At 34.1% G+C, this 20,176-nt stretch overlaps 1 protein-coding gene across 13 annotated transcripts in view, besides 1 other annotated feature; it reads right to left on the bottom strand.

Moving 5' to 3' along the window:
• LINGO2 (leucine rich repeat and Ig domain containing 2) overlaps positions 1-20,176 on the bottom strand; it is a 1,275,985-nt gene that overhangs the window by 754,710 nt on the left and 501,099 nt on the right. The window lies entirely within an intron of this gene.
• Positions 17,009-17,178: an enhancer, noted in NCBI's record as "experimental_107568 CRE fragment used in MPRA reporter constructs". NCBI's record gives its function as "activates a minimal promoter by MPRAs in K562 erythroleukemia cells, with activity observed for the non-introgressed 9:28709418 variant allele {active_cell/tissue: K562}" and the evidence as "EXISTENCE:reporter gene assay evidence [ECO:0000049][PMID:34662402]".

A 20,176-nucleotide genomic window follows, 5' to 3' on the forward strand; every position in this document is an offset into this window, starting at 1 on the left:
TAGCCAAGTGTGGTGGTGTGCACCTGTAATCCCAGCCATTCAGGAGGCTGAGGCAGGAGAGTCGCTTGAACCCAAGGGTCGGAGGTTGCAATGAGCCAAGATCGTGCCAGTTCACTTAAGCCTGGGCAAAAGATCAAAACTCCGTCTCAAAAAATAAAAACAAAAATAAAAATAAAGTGACAATTTCTTTCATATTTCCATGTTTATACTTAGGACCTCTTGAAAGACCTTTCCTTTCTATCCAAACCTATATGTTGTCAAATACAGGTTTTCCTATTTTCCTGCCTCCATACATTCATGCCATTCAAAACATAATCCTGAAATATGATCTCTCCATACAAGGACTACATCAAATCTTACCTACTCAGTGAAACCTTCTCTAACACTAAATGCAAGAAAATTGCCTCATGTTGGGTGGCACTGGTGCTAATAATAACGAAGGTATTGGAGTTTCCATCTTAGTCACAAGTGATTTCTTTCTCCTCTGAATTCATAGAACAGTGGGTGTCAATATCACATATTCAGAATATATATTGCCTTATACTTTTAAAATCAAAATATGAACATGTTGTATCTTTTCTACAACATTGTAGAGGAAAAGACTACTTGCTTCAGAGAGTAATAAATATAGTTTATTATATTAAGGTATTTAATAATTATTTTTTGATGACGAGAATTCCTAGATCTATGATGAAAAAAATTGTCATTTTTTTAAATGAGCATACAGTTATCACCTTGTCATTTTAGGTTGATAATTCAGCATTTTAGTTTTCCTCTACTAACCTCCCGGGCACTTTTCTCCAATTTTGTGCTTTAGTCATAGCCACATAATCCAAGCGTCAACGTTGTGTTGAGGTTGTATTTTACATGTGATTTTTGTTGGTGCACTTCCATTTTTAAACATATTGAGACATTTTAAACATACGAAATGATAGAAATCAAGAATATATAATGTTTAAAGCCAATATTTTCAGACACCTAAAATTTGGTACCATCTCTCATTTACTCTTACCTCTGTAACTGATACTTCATTCATTCAGTGATTTAATCATTAAACATTTATTGCACTGCTCTCATCCATCATACACTTTACGAGGTATTTGAGATGCAGGGATTTTAAGAGGCCATTATGTGGTGATCCAGATACATCAATAGACCATAAAAATGTAAAATAATAATTATTCTACCAGAGATATTCACAAGGTGAAACAGAAGTACAAAGGAAGACATCCTTAAGTCAGCCTGGCAAGGCTTAGTCCCATTCAAGTGTTAACCCCAGATTTTGAGAAGAGGCTTCTTATGAATCTTAATCTGAACTCTGTCTTGGAGTTAAATAAGTTCTCATTCAAAGTACAGCTCTGAAATGTCAGGGCAATCTAATATCAATAGCCCTTTTAGAACCTGAAAAATAATTACTGGCTTGAAAATGTTGGGGGGATGGTAGGTAGGATTTGTGTCTTCTTTATACATTTATTCATTATACTTTTTATAGGTTTTTTATAATCCCTGAGTAAATGCTTTGATAAATTGCTTTCCCATGTTGTTGGTGATAGCACTTACTGGAAGTCATACACAAAGTATATACATATGCTATTAGAAGGTGGTGCTTATCCAATTTATTCTTACCAACAAGTATTATACACTGACCCCATCAAAATCCATGTCCCTACTGATATTTTGAGCATGATATCAGCTGGTAGTTAGTGAAAAAATAAGCTCATTATTGCTTCCAGCTATAACTTCTGCGGTCCAGTTAAAAACTCTTATGTAAGGCCATTTTCAATTGAATACATGGTTTTCAAAAAAAAAAAATCATTTGTGAGACAGTTGTTTTATTATGGACACATTTTTATTTTCAAATAAAGATTGCAAGTAGAAATTATGATCCCAGTTCAATTTTCTATTAATCTAATATATTAAAATATAGTAGACAAATGTTAATAATAAAATATATATTCTATCTGCTAGTTTCCAAATGATTTATGAAGAAGGATGAGAAAGAAACTTTTTAATTCCTGGTTCATAAGTCAAACTATGGCTAAATTTTTGAATATGTGATATTCTTTTACCATATTATTTCCTTTCTACATCTGTATTAACAATTTCAGAAACTATACTCACTGCTGTAGCTCACACGACATCTCCTGTCTCCCAAAGGATTTCCTGATGAAAATAATACCTATAGCAATCAGGTAATGCTTACTTACAACCTCAAAAATCCTTACATATACCAACTCCTCCTATCCTCACAGCAACCCTACACCTATGAGGTAGATAATGCTATTATCCCAATTTTTCATATTAGGAATCCAAGGCACAAGAAGTTAAATAACTTACCCACAATCACACAGCTAGTAAGGGCAGAACTTTAATTTTGACTGAGGCAGTCCAGCTGTAAAGGCCATGCTGTTAATTATCTTTTCACTGAATTAATTGTGTGGGGGCTCTAGTAATGAAAGGTGGAAGGGCAGTGTAGCCCATGTTCACATGTGTCACTTATGAGCTGGATTCTTCTCTGTTAGAGACTTAAGTATGTGTGTCATGGTCAAAAACAATTTAAAGGCATAATTTCTCACTAAATTAGAGGACACAGTTTCTTTTAAATGTGTTTCCATTATCCTGACTGTTTTTTTTTTTTTTTAATGCAGCTTATTGAATTTACTGTAGGTGAGTTGTATACCCATTGAGCTGTCAGGACATTTTACCTGCCCCAATCTCTAATACAAACAAACAAACAAACAAACAAACAAGCACTCCTGTTATAGTACAGAACAAGAAAACATTTCAATTTGTCATGATTGTTTTGACAGTGAACAAAGTTTTTCATAACTGGCAGGCTTAGCTCAGGCCAAACCCTATTTAAAAGATGGCATTGAATCCTCACAAAAACTTAGTATATTCATTCCAATTTTGCTTCATTAAGTGATAAACATATAAAGTGTTTAACTTCATTAAATGTCAAATGAAGCTTTTAATTGATATATAAATATTGGCAGAATTTTAAAAATGATAATATCCAGTTTGGTCAAAGAGGCAGGAAAATAGGTACTCATATGCATTCTTGGCATAAATATATATTTATACAGTCTTTTTATAGGACAATTTGTCAATAACTATTAACTTTTAAAAAGGTTGTTCCACACAATTTCACTTCAGAGAATGTATCTTAAAGAAGTACATAAATGCCTTGATAAATGGGTAGTAAATAGATGTTAGACAAACAATGAAGTGATGGAAAGATACACATTTTCAATGACTTGTAAATAGAGATTTCTGGAAAATAGCTTACATGCCTGTCAATAAGTGGGCAGTTAAGTAGACTATGGCACTTTCATACAAGAAAATACTATAAAGCTGCCAATATTGTTGAATGAACACAGCAAATTGAAGAACAATATCTGGAGTATAAAGAGCATTTCTGTTAAAAAAAAAAAAAAGAAGAATGAGAGGATATTACTTTTAAAAAATATATAGTTCTGAATCATTTGCTTTTTTTGCAATTAAAAACAAAGATAAAAGCATAACTTCCCCAATTGATAATTTTTAAAATGGTATTTATTTTGGTTTGATGCATGTACTACTTGATTCATTTTAATAAAAATGGATGTACGCTCTTTACATTGATGTTTCTTTATGCTATGCATATTGTGATTTCCTAAAAACAACTTGATAAAAAATAATAGTGAGAAACCGTTTCCTTACTTTTTCCCCTCAGTTGTGAACCTGTTGATCTCATTATCTATGCCTAACAGAAATCATTGAAATCCTTTCAATGTCAGCCTCTTTCTCTTTAGTTGTTAGTTCTTTCCAAAGCTATCCTAAGCTACAAGAATATTTTCTTCTGTTGTCAGTTGGCTATTAAAACACTACTTTGACAACAAACAACTTGTAACAAATACTCACACCAAGATTGCTGACTACTTATTTCCCATGATTTGGGTTCACTTTTTAAAGGTAGACTTCTTTACAGCTTGTAGCAATCTGTAGCACGAGAATGACTGCTGCTTGTGCTGTATTTCCATTATACCAAAAATTTGAAGTCACACAGAAGTAAGATTTGCAAAACGATAAGCAAATTTACTAATGTGGAAGGGCCTCTTAACATTCATTCCAAACCTACAGTTAACTTCTTAAATTAAGAGTCTCCAATAGAGCTTTAAGTTGACTTACTCTTTTGTTCACAAATGAATGAATGAATTCATTTTTGACTATCTCATGAAAATCAGGAAAATTTGGGTAATACTACAATAATGAAGCTTATTTTCAATATGCTTAAACTCTAAAAGAAAAGTAAGCCAAATGCATAAAGACTCATCATATTAAGATAGGAGGATTAAGAATCCATGCATAGTCAGAGATGAAGTATGATTAGAAGTTCAGATTAGGGAAAGGTTATTGTATACAAGGAGGATTCAAACATGTTACATGGGTAGTAGGAAGCCAGAAATCATTAATGTCAAATAAGAAAGCTATTTAATTAATTGTATTTCTGGCTTTATTGAAAATGAATTTAGGTGAGCTAAGGAGGTTAGATTTTGTCCTGTCAAAAACAATATACGTTTTGTGCTATACAAGTGACATGATCTAAATTTTTTTTTCCTTGGCATACTTACTTTGCTTCTATAATTCCTTTAGCTAGGTGTCCTCGAGTTGTTTTGTTTGTTTATCTATTTTTCAAGGGAATCCAAAAACTAATCCACATAATCTTTATACTTACTCTTCTGGCATGTAGAAGTGGGGTGTCATATTCTTTGAAAATTTTATGAACAGTATGTTATTTTTGGCTATTCAAGTAGCCTTTTATTCCTTGACTGATTAGAACTCCATGGGAACTCACAAGGCAACTAGAGTGGAAATTCAATTTAAAACCAGAGACCTTGATATAAGATAATGATCCCTAGCTCTGCCCTCATTTCCTCTTCTTCCTAGTGTTCTGTCTAGACCTGCTTCCTATTTATTCACTTTGTCACAACACCGTAGCATTTCTGGCCAGCAAATCTTCTGGATTTGGAACAGGTTAGGTAATTTCAGTGAATATAACTTCTGAAAATGGAATTTCACTTTACAGAATAAAAACCGACTATATATTTTTTAAAAACCCTTTATAAAAATTGTTTTACCTAGTGGTTAGAAAATGTTTTCAAATTGTACTATAATTAATCATAGTTTTAAGAGTTATTAAAATTATGGTACCACCTCCTTCTAAACCATAGTTGATTTTGTATCTAAAAGTCTGGGTCTTTGTAAAAAACAAAGCTGCTAGTTTGAAAAAAAAAATCACTGTGAAATATATTTGTCCATATTTAACTGAAGTAGAAATATTATTAAGGAAAATCAGGGAAACATATCTAACATAAGATAGGCTAAGGAGTCACATTTCATCCTTGTTGTAACTCTTGCTATGCTTTTTGTTAAATGGAGTCCACATTATCAAGTAAACTGTGAAAGCTAATCAGCTCAAAAAACCCCAGGGCGCTTCTTATTGCTGCAATATTTTATAATGCTTCCCTGGTTTTGGACAAAAAATAATATTTGGTGTTGCAAAGAAGCATACAACATTTTGTCTAGATGAATTTTATAACTTGGCTTTAATCACCTAAACAAAGCACATGTAAAATTTAGATGCAAAATTTTGTCAAAATCAGGTAAGGCTTAATTCATTGAATCACTTCCAAATATTGGTAATTGGTGAAGTTTCTATGTAAAACTGGTTCTATGTATGAACAAATTAGACTCAGAAAGGCACCTCATAAGCTGATATTGGCAATCCCAAGAAGACACTACATATACAATCAATGTGCACATATTCCTGAAGGTTAAACTTCAGGGTGATCTGAGATGATGGACATTGGTTTTGGTTTTTCATGCTTTTTACTTACACGATAAAAATTTGCTCAATGGTATTTGCATCATGGCTCTTTTATTTCCAGTATAGATACATTTATAATAAGCCATTCATATTATCATAAGATACTTGCACAGGTCCTTTATACATCCTTCTAAGTTAGAATCCTGTTATTCAAAAAAATTATCATATCTTTTCAATGGAACTAGATATACCAAAAACTCATGTTGTATCAATGTTTAATATTATTCAGACTATTCTTCATTCAGTAATATCTCCAAACGTCTGATTTCAGGTCCCTTGGAGTTGTGTTTTGGCAATTGTTTTAAATCATCTAGCACAAAATGGCATGTTTTGTCAATTTCTAGGTATGAATACTTTGCAACATAATGAAATTCTACAGATAAAATTATTGACTAGCTCTACAACATGCTATATTGTGTGTGTGGTTTTTTTTTAAGAGTTTATTTTTTAGAGGACTTTCAGGTTAGTTTCACAATAACATTGAATAGAAAGTACAGAGAGTTCTCACATACCCCTTGTCCCCCACACACAATCTTCTCCACTATCAACATCCCCCACCAGGCCAGGTTAGATCACTGGCTCATACCAGTCATCTAAACACTTTGGGAGTCCAAGACTGGAGGATTGCTTGAGGCCCAGAGTTCAAGACCAACTTGGGCAACATCATGAGACTCTAGCTCTACAAAACATTTAACAATTAGCTAGATGTGGTGGTGTGCACCTGTAGTCCTAGCTACTTGGGAGGCTAAGGTGGGAGGTTCACTGAAGCCCAGAAGTTTGAGGCTGTAGTGAGCTATGATGATACCACTGCACTCCAGCCTGGTCAAGAGAATGAGACCCTGCCTCAAAAACAAAACAAAACAAAACAAAACAAAACAACAAAAACACCGAACTGGTACAATTACTATGGTCAATGAACACACTTTAACACATCATTATCACCCAAAGTCCAAATTTTACATTAATGTTAACTCTTAGTGTTACATTTTCTGTTGGTGTTGACAATGTATAATGACACTTATCCACTATTATAATATCATATGGACTGTATTTTTTTGGCCCTAAAAATCTTCCATACTCCACCTGTTGTGGGAAGTCAGGGACCCCGAATGAAGGGACTGGCTGGAGCTGCGGCAGAGGAACATAAATTGTGAAGATTTCATGGACATTTATCACTTCCCTAACAATACTCTTATAATTTCTTACGCCTGTCTTACTTTAATCTCTTAATCCTGTTATCTTTGTAAGCTGAGGATGTACGTCATCTCAGGATCACTGTGATGATTGGGTTAACTGTACAAATTGATTGTAAAACAAGCTTGTTTGAACAATATGAAATCAGTGCACCTTGAAAAAGAACGGAATAACAATGATTTTCAGGGAACAAGGGAAGACAACCATAAGGTCTGACTGCCTGTGGGGTCGGGCAAAATAGAGCCATATTTTTTCTTCTTGCAGAGAGCGTATAAATGGATGTGCAAGTAGGGAAGATATTGCTAAATTCTTTTCCTAGGAAGGAATATTAATAGTATGACCCTGGGAAACGAATTGTATTCCTGGGGGGAGGTCTATAAATGGCTGCTCTGGGAGTGTCTGTCTTATGCGGTTGAGATGAGGACTGAGATAAGCCCTGGTCTCCTGCAGTACCCTCAGGCTTACTAGGACTGGGAAACGCTAGCCTGGTAAATTTGAACTCAGACGGGTTATCTGCTCTTGAACTCTGTTTTCTGTTAAGATATTTATCAAGACAATACGTGCACTGCTGAATATAGACCCTTATCAGGAGTTTCTGATTTTGCCCTGGCCCTGTTTCCTCAGAAGCAGTGATCTTTGTTTTCCTTTTTGCCCTTTGAAGCATGTGATCTTTGTGACCTACTCCTACCCTTTTGAAATCCTTAATAAAAACCTGCTGGTTTTGTGGCTCAGGTGGGCATCATGGTCCTACCTATAAGTGATGTCACCCCTGGAAGGCCCAGCTGTAAAATTCCTCTCTTTGTACTCTTTCTCTTTATTTCTCAGCCAGCTGACACTAAAGGAAAATGTAAAGAGCCTACATTGAAATACTGGGGGCAGGTTCCCCCGATACCACCTATTCATTCATCCAAATTTCTTCCTTAGCTATTGGTAACCACCAATATTTTTACTTTTTCCATACTTTTTACTTTCTCTAGAATCTCCTATAGTTGGGGGTCACACATAATGTATTATTTCAAATTTGCTTCTTTCACTTAGAAGTATGTTCCTCCATGTTTTTTTGTGACTTAATAGCTCATTTCTTTTTAGAAATGAATAATAATCCATTGACTGAATGGACCACAGTTTAATTATCCATCCATACACTGAAGGACATTTTGGGTGCTTCCAAGTTTTGGCAATTGTGAAAAAAGCTGCTATAACATCCATGTTTAAACCATTCAGGTTTTGTGTGTATGCGTATGTACAAAGGTTTTCAACTCATCTAGGTAAATACCAAAGAGCACAACTGCTGGATTGTATGGTAAGATATGTTTCATTTTATAAGAAACTTCCAAACTGTTTTCCAAAGTGGCTGTACCACTTTTCATGTCCACCAGCAATGAATAAGAGGTCCTGTCACTCCACATCCTTACCAGCATTTGGTGTTGTCACCATTCTGGATTTTGGCCATTCTAATAGGTATGTAGTGGTAACTCCTTGTTGTTTTAATTTGTAATTCACTAGTATCATATGATGTGAAGCATCTTCTCATATTCTTGTAATATTTGTCTTCTGTATATTTTCTTTGGTGAGGAATCTGTTTAGGTCTTTTGCCCACTTTTCTTTGGGTTGTTAATTCTTTTACTGTTGACTTTTAAGCATTCTTTGTGTATTTTGGGTAAATGTCCTTTATCAGCTATTTTTTTTCAAATATTTTCTTCTAGTTTGAGGCTTAACATTCACATTATCTTAACAATGTCTTGCCCGGAGCAGACATTTTTAATTTTAATCAAACCCAGATTATATATTCTTTATTTCATGAATTGTGCCTTTGGTGTTGTACATAAAAAGTGATAGCCATACCCAATTATATATAAATGATCTCCTATGTTATCTTCTAGGATTTTTATAGTTTTGTATTTTGTGTTCAGACCTATGCTCCATTTTTAATCTTTGTGAAGCTGTAAGTTCTTTGTCTAAATTCATTTTATTTTGGCCATGGATATCCAGTTGTTGCAGTACCATTTGATGAAGAGGCTATTTTTTTCTCCATTCTATTGTCTTTGCGCCTTAGTAAAAGATCAGTTGACTATATTTATGTGGAACTATTTCTGTGCTCTCTATTCTGTTCGATCGATCTGTCTATTCTTGCTTCAATACCACACTGTTTGGTTACTGTATATTTAACACAAATTGGTTAACGTCAGTCCTGTGACCTTGTTTTTTCTTTCAATATTGTGTTAGCTATTCTGGGTCTTTTGCTTTTCCATATACATTTTAAAATCAATTTTTTAATATCAACAAAATAACATGTTGGGATTTGACTGGGATTGCATCAGATCTATAAATCAAGTTGAAAAAAATGACATCTTGACAATATTGAGTCATCCTATTCGTAAAAACAGACTATCTCTCCATTTGGTACTTCTTTGATTTCTTTAATCAGTTTAATAGTTTTCCTCATATAGCTTTTATACATATTTTGTTAGATATAAACCTAAATATTTCATTTTTGGGGTGCTAGTGTAAACAGTACTGTGTTTTTAAATTAAAATGCACTTCTTTAATGCTGATATATGGGAAAGTGGTTAACTTTTGTATCCGAGAAGCTTGGTATAAACACTTATGAGTTCCAGGACTTTGTTGTTGTTGATACTTTCAGATTTTCTACATAGGAAATCACATCATCTGCAAAGAAAAATAGTTTTACTTCTTACTTCCCAATTTGTATACCTTTTATTTCTTTCTCATCTTGTTGTATTAGCTAGGACATCAAGTCCCATTATGTTGAAAAGGAGCAGTGAGTGGGAATATCCTTCCCTTGTTTCTTATCTTAGCTGGAAAGCTTCTAGTTTCTCACTATTAAATATGAAGTTAACTTTAGAATTTTTTTTGTAGATGTTCTTTACCAAGTAGAAGAAGTTTCCCACTATTCTTAGTTTATTGAGTGTTTTATCATAAATGGAGTTGGATTTCTGTTAAATGATCTTCCTATATCTATTGATACAATCAAGTGGTTTTTCTGCTTTAGCCTTTTGATGTGAGGGTAACATTAATAGATTTTTCAAATCTATTACCTGGAATAAATCCCACTCACATACCTGGAATAAATCCCACTTGGTTCTGTTGTATAATTCTTTTTATAAATTGCTGTATTCAATTTGCTACTATTTGTTGAGGATTTTTGCATTTATCTTCATGAGAGACAATTATGTCTACTTTGTTTTTCTTGTAATGGTCTTTGCCTGGTTTTGGTATTAAGTTAATGCTGTTGTCATAGAATGAGTTAGAAAGTATTTCCTTCACTTTTATTTTCTGGAAGAGATGACAGAATGTTTGTAATAATTCTTCAATAAATGTTTGGTAAAATTTACCAGTGAACCTGCCTTGCCTATTGCTTTCCGTTTTAGATCATTGTTAACTACTGATGCAATTTCATATATATAGGCTTACTTCTTCTCGTGTAAGCTTTGACAAATTGCACTATTTCATCTCGGTTTTCAAGAAATTTGGCCATTTCATCTAGGCTTTCTAATTTGTGGGCACAGAGTTATTAATAGTCTTCCTTTATCAACCTTTTGATGTCTAAGGTATCTGTAGTGAGGTTACCTCTTTCATTCCTGACATAAGTAATTTTTATCTTTTTTTTTCTTAGCCTGGCTATATGCTATCAATGTTTTTCATCTTTTGAAAAACTACGTTTTTGTCTCATAGCTTTTCTATATTGATTTCCTGTTTTCAGTTTTACTGATTTCTGCTCCATTTTTTGTTTCTTTTCTTCTGCTTACTTTGCATTTAATTGCTCTTCTTTTTTATAACGTTCTAAGGTGAAAACTTAAATTATTGATTTTAGATCTTTTTTCTTTTCTAAACTATATTTGAAATGCTATATATTTCCCTGTAATCATTGTTTTCACTCTATCCCAACATTTTAAAAAGTTGTATTTTCATTGCCATTTATTTCAAAATATTTTAAAATTTCTCCTGAAATTTGTTTGGAATGAGGTGTTATTTAGACGTGTGTTGTTTATTCTCCATTGGCATTTTCCATTTATCTCCCTTTATGTATTTCTAACTTAATTTCACTCTGGTCTGAGAACAGACATTATATAAATTTGTTAGGATGTGTTTTATGGCCAAGAATCTGGACTATCTTGGTGAATATTCCATATGAGCTTGAAAAAAACGTGTATTTCCTTGTTGTGGATGAAGTAGCCAATAGATATCAATTACAAGTGATTAATTAATGGTACCTTTGAGTTCAACTATGTCCTTGCTTATTTTCTGCCTGCTGGGTCTGTCCATTTTTGATTAAAAGGCATTGAACATTTTATATGATGCCATTTTCTCTCTCTCTTTTTTTAACTCTTTCAGTTGTTGTCCTAGAATTTGTAGTATACAGTTACAACTAATTCAAGTCCACTTTCAAAGAATACTATACCCTTTCACAGGTAGTATAGGTACCTTATAATAATAAAGTATTCTTAATTCCATCCTCCTATTCCTTGTATTATTTTTGTCATTCATTTCACTAATACATGAGTTCTGTTTATCAAATACCTTTTTGATAATTTTTGGATACATTGTTACCTGTTAGGTAAGTGAATATGAAATATAAAAGATTTTATTTGGCCTTCATTTGTTTCTTCTCTAATGGTTTTCCTTTTTTAAACGTAGATCAGAGTTTCTGACCTATATATTTTCCTTCACTCTGAAGAACTTTTTAAAATCATTATTTTTAAAAGCAGGTTTATTGATGATAACACATTCCCTCAATATTTACTTGTCTAAGAAATCTTCCTTTTATCTTCACTTTTGAAGGGTGAATTCTAGGTTGGTGTGAGTTTTCTCTCAAATGTTTAAATATTTCACCCCATTCTCTTCTTGCTTGCAAGATTTCTGAGGACAAATAAGATCTAATTCTTATCTTTGCTTCCCTGGAGGTGAGGTATTTTTTCTCCTTCTGGTATTTTTCAAGATTTTTTTCTTAATATGATATGTTCAGGTGTAGTGTTTTTTATTGGATTTTTTTTTTCGCATTTATCCTGCTTAATGTTCTGTGTTCCGTGTGCTTCCTGGATCTGTGGCTTGGTGTCTGACATTAATTTGAGGACATTCTGAGTCATATTGCTTCTAAGATTTCTTCTCCTTCTGTCTTCCCATTATGTGAAGTTATACCATTTGTAATTGTACCACAGTTCTTGGGTATTCTGTATTTTTTTTTCAGTCTTTCAGTTTTTCAGTCCTTTCAGTTTTGGAAGTTTCTATTGGCACATCTTCAAGCTGAGAGATTCTTCAACCATTCTCAGTCTACTAGTGAGTGAATCAAATGCATTTTCATGTCTGATACAGTGTTTTTGAGCTCTACAATGATGTTTTGATTCTTTCTTAGAATTTCAATCTCTCTGCTTACATCACCTAACTGTTCTTGCATATTGTCTTAATGTTGTTCTTTAGGGCCCTTAGCATGTTATTCAAAGTTTTAAAAAATTCCTGGTCTAATAATTCCAAATTCGTGCCACATTTGACTCTGGATCTGATGTTATTCAATTGCTTCAATCTGTGTTTTCCTGCCTTTTGGTTGTAACTTTTTCTCATACAGTGGCTCAATCTCAGATCACTGCAATCTCTGCCTCCTAGGCTCAGGTGATCCTCCCACCTCAGCCTCCTGTATCTGGGATTACAGGTAAGCACCACCATGCCTGGCTAATTTTTTGTATTTTTTTGTAGAGTTTGAGTTTCTCCATGTTGCCCAGGTTGGTCTCGAACTCTTGAGCTCAAGCAATCCACCCGTCTCAGCCTCCCAAAGTGCTGGGATTACAGGTGCAAGACACCATGCCCGGCCACCTTGTAACCTTTTCTTGATAGACAGATATAATGTACTAGGTAAAAGAAATTATAGTAAATAGGCCTTTAGCATGTGGTGGTAAGATGTTAGGGGAAGACAAATAACAGTCCTATAATTATAATTCTATAATCTCTGTCTTTTAGTGAGTTTGTGCCCCTGGACTGTGGACTTCACAAGTGTCTCTTCACAAGTGTCCACAATCTGTCTCCTTGGGACAGAATAGCTAGAGGAAGCTGGAATCAGGTATTTTTCTTCTCTTATATCAGTTGGGACCTGATAAAACCCCAATATATAAGGCTCTGATAAAATAGCTTCTCCTGAAGGCAGCCCATGCTCATAAGAACAGAATGCTCCGGAGTATTTCAAACTAGTTACTTTTCTGCTCCCACTGCCAGAATCAGCAGGGGATCTTTCCCTGATCTTCACTTTGAAAGCCTGGTAGAGATTCTGGAGTTAAAACTCACAAAAGTGTGAGGGCCCCAGTATGAATGTCCTCGCTGGACTATTTTACTCTCAGACTTGTCCACACCAAGCCTACAGCAGTTTGTCAATTACATCTCAGGTTTTCCTACTCTTAACTAATTCCAGTGGAGCATTCTGCTCTGCTCTGTTAAGTTGTGATTCTCTATATCCAGTCCGTGTTTCCAATTTGGAGGGCATAAGTTTGCTCTGTAACCTCACTTCTCTGATGAATCTAAAAAGAGTGGTTGATTTTTTTTTCAAATTGTTCAGATTTTTACTTGTTGTTAGGATAGAGTAACAACTTCCAAGCTCCTTACTTTTGTGACTGGAAACTTACACTCCAGCTTTTCAGACAATAAAAATAATTTCTAAACTGAGGGCACAAATCTTCTGTATACCATTGATTTTGTATTTATAACCTCACGCTAGGAAGCATTCATATATTCAGGGCTTTGAAGATAAACCAGTTCTTCCTAAACTCTCTATATGACAATCTACTGCCTTTTTCCATTGTCTTGTCTGCCTTCCTCAAGGTCGGTTTCAAACAGTGCATTTAAAGCATGCAACAGTACATGGGTTAAAAAACAGAGAACATATTAAGGACTGCATAAACAACAAAGGCATTGGAATAGTAGCCATTCAAAAAAGGTAAGAATCCATGGCCATTCTTAAGCACAAACATAGTTTTTAAATCAGCTTATTATGATGATAATAGCTTTTACATTCAGGAATGAAGGAATAGAATATTTTAAAAAATTAATGTTACTTAGGATTAGTCTATTAAAGATTAGTTTTTCAAAGAAAAATGGTAGGCCTGACAAAACTAGAAAACTTGTTTTAAAATTTCAAGATGCATTTTTGCCAGCTAAAACTTTAAAGTCAACTTTTGAAGCTTTAAAACAAGATGACCCTTCTTGTCTTCATGATAGACATGCTATTCCATATTTTTCCCTGAAATAGGCCAATAACCTTCACATTGAAATCTGTTGAAGTTGGTAATTCCCTCCCTTAAAGTTCTACAAAGCATTTTAGGGGACATGTAACTACTAGGCTAACAAACCTTGCAGTCTCACACTTGTGTATCACTCATCCACCATATTTTGACTAGGAGCATTTTCACTTTGTATAATCTTTAGGTTCTCAAACTATTAGCCCTGATGATAGACCTGACCTTATCTGCTCTTTACCTGAAACTTTGCTTGTAAATGTTCCTTTATCTAAAACACTTTCTCGACACCCCAACCCAAAATAAATATATCTAAAAAATCACCCTTCAAATTTCAGGAAAGGAACCTTATTTAATCATTCCTCCCTACTCCTGGACTACATGTTCTTATAGATCTATGTTCCCTTCTTTCAAAATATTTATATTGGTTTGCAATATGAATTCATACAGTGTGATGATTTGCTATGAAAAATTCACATGTGGTAACCGCTTTTGCTCACAACTGTATTCTTATATCCTAAAGATGGCAAAGAAAGAGTGATAAATAAATAATTGTTGAATCAATAAAATATTGAGGTGTCTCATGAAATCATTACATCTTCCAGACAATTAAACTAGGAGGGCCCTAATAGAATCATACATATGGCTGGGAATAAAGAGAGACACAGCATGTAGGATGCAAAGTACCTAAAGTCAGGTCTCACAACTTTTCTCAGGGTAAATGTTTCCCCATTGACCATTAGATAAATGAATTCCCCTGACAGTCCAAAGCTTCTTCCATTTTCTCCATCCATCCTCCTGAAATGCATATATCCCTGAGAGTCTTTCGAAGTTAATTTATATATTCTTTTCCATCTCATTCGCTGCACTGGGGAATTCAAAACAAAACAAAACCTGAAATAAACCTCAAGGAGCACTAGAATTGAAATTCAGCTACAGTGAAAACTGATTCATTTTTGTCTCACACTATCTGTTTCAAACTCCCAAGGGTGGTGGCTAGGTCTGCTCAACTGTCTTGTAATGATCCTGTCCTCCCACTGTCACTCTCCCCAATCATGAGATGCTGTCTGGTCTGTTTGGAGGCCTAAGACATGAATGAATACCTTAGGGGGCTGTATCAGTATTTATTGTCGGGGTGGTGAAGGGTGGGAGGAAGAAGTAGTGTAATAAAAACCATCTGTGCTGAGAATTATAGAAGCCAGAAAGGGACTCGCAGGGAGTCCTGCATCTATCACCACATGGAAGCCCAATTAAAACACACATTCAAAAAACAGGATCCTGTCAGAATATGCCTCAGTCAGAAAAACTGCAAGTGAAATTACACTGAACTCATTCACTGTTAAGTAGAATAGAATAAATGGAAATAAGAAGGTGGGAATAAAGACCTAATAAAATGTTCTCAGTGTATTTTTTTAACTTCCTCTATTTCAAGTAAACAAAATTCACAATTCTAAGTCTACTAAATGGAACTTTGAATGAAATAAAGATTGGCAGAAGTGATGTTATGTGACAATAAGAATAACCAAATTCCATAACAAGTATCAAGGCAGCATATAATTAGAAGGCATGTTTCGCAGGCATTAATATCTAGAAATATGAAAAGATATATTCTTTAATGCCCTGAAAAGCACAGAATTCAGCTAAAATATGAATATTCAGAAAATAAACATAAGCACACCTGTTAGGTATGTATCATGTATAATTCAGGGATCCCCAAGGAGAGCTCCTTTGTTCCCCATCTGATTAGTTTTGCATCATGAGGTTGACTCTTGCAGATGCCTCATCACTGTGACCATTTTTATCTGTCTGCCTTAGCTGCTCTCTTTCTCTGTATACCTGAAACTGTATAAGCAGTTTCAAGGCTGATCAGTTGACTGTACTATGAATAATAAAATGCTTATCTTTGTCTGGGGGGAGAACTTGGTTAACCCTCTTCCAGTGGAACAGTATTCATAGTAAGAACAGGATGAACAGTTCAGTGTGAAACAATGAGGGAACTCAGCCGAGAAAGCCAGTCTTTCCAACCACCTATGTACACGGTGCTTCTTCGTGTAGCTTCCTTTGCCTCAGCCACCCTCCAGATCAGATTTCAGAGTCACAGCAAGCAGAAGCCTGCTGTCTGTTTTAAACTAATTATCTATCTATCTATCTATCTATCTATCCATCTATTATTGTCTGTCTATCTATCATCTATCCATCATCTATCTATCATCTACATCTGTCCATGCTGAGTTTAAATCAAGGTAATGACCCTAGACCTGATCTATAATAGATTATTTATGTTTTCTTGTTCAGATGCAACCAACAAACAATGTATCTTTGTCAAATTGATAATAATGACTATCATGCTACAATTAATTAAGCAAAACACACATTTTAACCATTTTTCCTCTCCCACATGTCTTTTAATCTTATGTCCTCAAGGGTTCTAACACAGATAGTCTGATGGATGTTCTGCAGAAACCTGAAAAATACCTTGTTCCTGTTCTTTTTATTCCTGAGAACATCACCCTCCTTCAGGTAATAGTGACTATAAGGGTAAGATTTAACAAGTTTCTACTAACATGCCCTATCTCTATTATTTCTAATAAAGTGTTTTGTTTTGTTTTTTAACTCTCATACTATGTCAGTTAAAGGATGCCTGACTGGACATTCCTAATTGCTAATTGGTTTTAGTTTAGTGTGTTTTCAGGTGCTGACTTCTTTTATGCAAAGTTGAGAAATCCAGTTTGATTATTATCCAATCCAATGTTAAATGAATAGTGTTTTGAGTAAGAATGGTTTGTTGTTTTTTGAATTTTAGAAAGATAAATTTTCTTTTGTATGTTTACTTTGGATGTATTTGGGGGGAAAATCTAATATATCTAAGGCCGTGTTCCAAGCTTTCCTTAAATAAATTTTCAAAATTTTACTTCAAATCAAATGCAATAACACATTGAGTAATTATGAATCATATATAATTTTTAATGTCAGGAAGTATTAGTACATGTCACAAATACAAACAGAAATGCTTGCACAAAGAATAATACTTCATTTATCTAAATATAGTATATGAGTGAATTCTGCACATAAACAAAACATCTATTTTAAAGTACTAATTAAAATTATATATGTATACTAATAATATATTTAATTTGTAGTTATCTAGCTACTTACACAAATATACTCAGCATGATTCTCAATATGATTGATAATTCAGGGCTATTTAATAAATGTCAATTATTTAACTAGAGATTAATATGCCAATGTCTCTTGATTTATGAAGGGCTATTGCACCTATGATTTAATGGTTCACATATATGGAAATATTTTTTAAATTCCAGAGGCTATATTTTATGCTTTTAGTATAATCAACCTTTTTGTGAATAATACAAATTCTACTAACTTTTATCCAAACTGAAATATACATCTCGGATGCCATGGTTTGAATGTTTGTGTCTCCCCCAGATTTGTATGTTGAAACCTCAATACCAACATTATGATATTAAGAGGTGGGGCCATTGGGAGCTGATTGGGTCAAGTGCTAGACCCTCATGAGTGAAATTAGTATGCTCATAACAGAGGCCCCAAAGAGTTGCCTTGAACCTTGCATTATGTGAGGACACAGCAAGAAGGTAACATCTGTGAGTCAGGAAATGAACCCTTACCAGATGCCAAATCTACCAGTGTCTTGATCTTGAACTTCCCAGCCACCATAACTGTGGGAAATTAATTTCAGTTGTTTATAAGCTAGCAAGTTTATGGTATTTTGTTATAGCGACCCAAATGGACTGACATCTTATAATTGAGGTTGTTGGATAAGTGGACTCTGAATAAAAAATGTCATGCACATAACTATTAGATGCCTATTTAGCTAGAGATATTTACGTGACTAAACCACGAGATTTTTTTTCAAAAAATGCCACTGTAAAATAGACCCTCATCAGCCAATGGAAAGGTTTGTGCAAATACTTGTTCAGGGGTTAATAGAAAAATCTACTTGGGATGACTGGAACAGTCTCTTTCTAAATTTCACTGGTTATCTTTGAACTATACACCTTTCACATCTTAGCTAAAATGCCACTGTCCTAGGAATAGCTTCCAGGAATCACCCCATTTCAAACTAGATCAGTCCTTGATTAACCCTCCAATTACATATTTACATGAGTTGAATAATATATGCTTCCCCCATTAGATTTAAAAAAATATCTTCCAAGGGAAATAAACTATTTTACTCAATACTGTGAATAAAACACAGAACAGTGTTAAAGAAAAACAGAGTGGGTATGTAATTGACATGTAACAAATAGATGAGTGAATATGGTAATGGTGATTCTGGGTAGAGGGCCTCAAGGAAATATGGTTTGGGGATGATGTAGGCTCTGCAGACAGACAGATCTGGGTTTTGATACTGGCCCCAGCATTTATTATTAGTAATTTTTAATTGTACCTCATCTCTGTGTTAATATTCCCTACTACCTTGAGCTTCAGTGATAATAAAATTAGGTATTTTAGGTAAAAAAATGTATTTATTAAGTGCTTAATGTATTTATTAAGTGATAAGAAAATTAGGTATTTTAGATTAAAAATATATTTTTATGTGCTTAATGCTAAGGAAGATTCTTAGTTTAATTGCAATAATCTATATTTTAGGGCTAACCCTACGTTTCTATCATAGCCTTGCACTTAACAGCTTAGTGATCAAATAGAAGTTATTAATTCTCCTCAAAATTCAGTTTCCTCATCTGTAAAATAGTGATAACACCACTCAAGAACTGTGAAGATTTATATGTCATATTTTAAATAAAGTGTTTAGCCCAGAGGCTAGCACATGGCAAGTACTCAGTATTCCCTCTCATGATCCCTATCATTATTCTCTTAACCACCTAAGCCCCACCACACTCCCTGAACAGCAAGGTGAGCAAGGTTTTCAAAAAGAACTGATATGTATTTAACTATGCATCCTAGAGAAATTAATATAAAAAGATGCATTAACCTTGGGACAACACATAATTCAAGTGTGGGTCAGAAGAGTGAGTTAGTAGAGCAGTTAAGGGTTGCTTCTGGAGTCACACTCCTTCACTAACTACCTGATTCTGTTATTTAAGTATTGTAATACTTAATTTCCTCATCTAGAAATAAAAACAGCCCCAATATATACAGCTTTTTTGATAATTAAATGAGCCAATTAATCAAACACATTTAGTACAGTGCCTTGCCCAGATAAGAACTCACAAAAACTTACTCCATTAAACAACTCACAAATACTATATCCGTATAGGAATAAGGCAATGAGTCTATTAAAGACAAGCTATACTTACAATGGCTCTAGGCTGGGGACTTGGTTATCTTCTCTGTTGGAAAAGAGATGCTAGGAACAATGAAGACAGCCTTTTCATTGGATTACAGCAGTATAGTATCCAGTAAGTCCAGCAAGTCCAGCAATTATATAAAAAAGATTTAAGAAATACTCTACATTTGACAGAATAAAATGTAAATATGTAAAAGCTAATAAAGTAAAGAATAATGCCGGTAGGAGATAGTAGAGACAGAAATGATGAAGGATTGTAAAATGTACCCGGTAATTCAGTAGTGACACATTTATATCGCTATAGAATATTAAGTGAGAAATAAACGTTTTTGACCCTTTAAGGGTTTTATATTAAATTCAGCATTGCACCCACTTGAATGATCAAAATGAACTTGAAAATGTATGTGTGTAAATATAAACAGCATATGCTGAAGTTTCACCATCTCTTATATATAAAAACTTTATTAAAAAGAACATAGTTTTACAAAGCATCTTAGGGAGCCCAAGCCTAGGGTTCTTTGGATTATATCTTTTCTTCTCAGACTGATTAAGTAGCTCAAGCTCTGAATCTAGAATGCCTATGAT

The sequence above is a fragment of the Homo sapiens genome, chromosome 9 (genome assembly GCF_000001405.40).
Source record: "Homo sapiens chromosome 9, GRCh38.p14 Primary Assembly".
NCBI classification, from domain to species: Eukaryota; Metazoa; Chordata; class Mammalia; order Primates; family Hominidae; genus Homo; species Homo sapiens.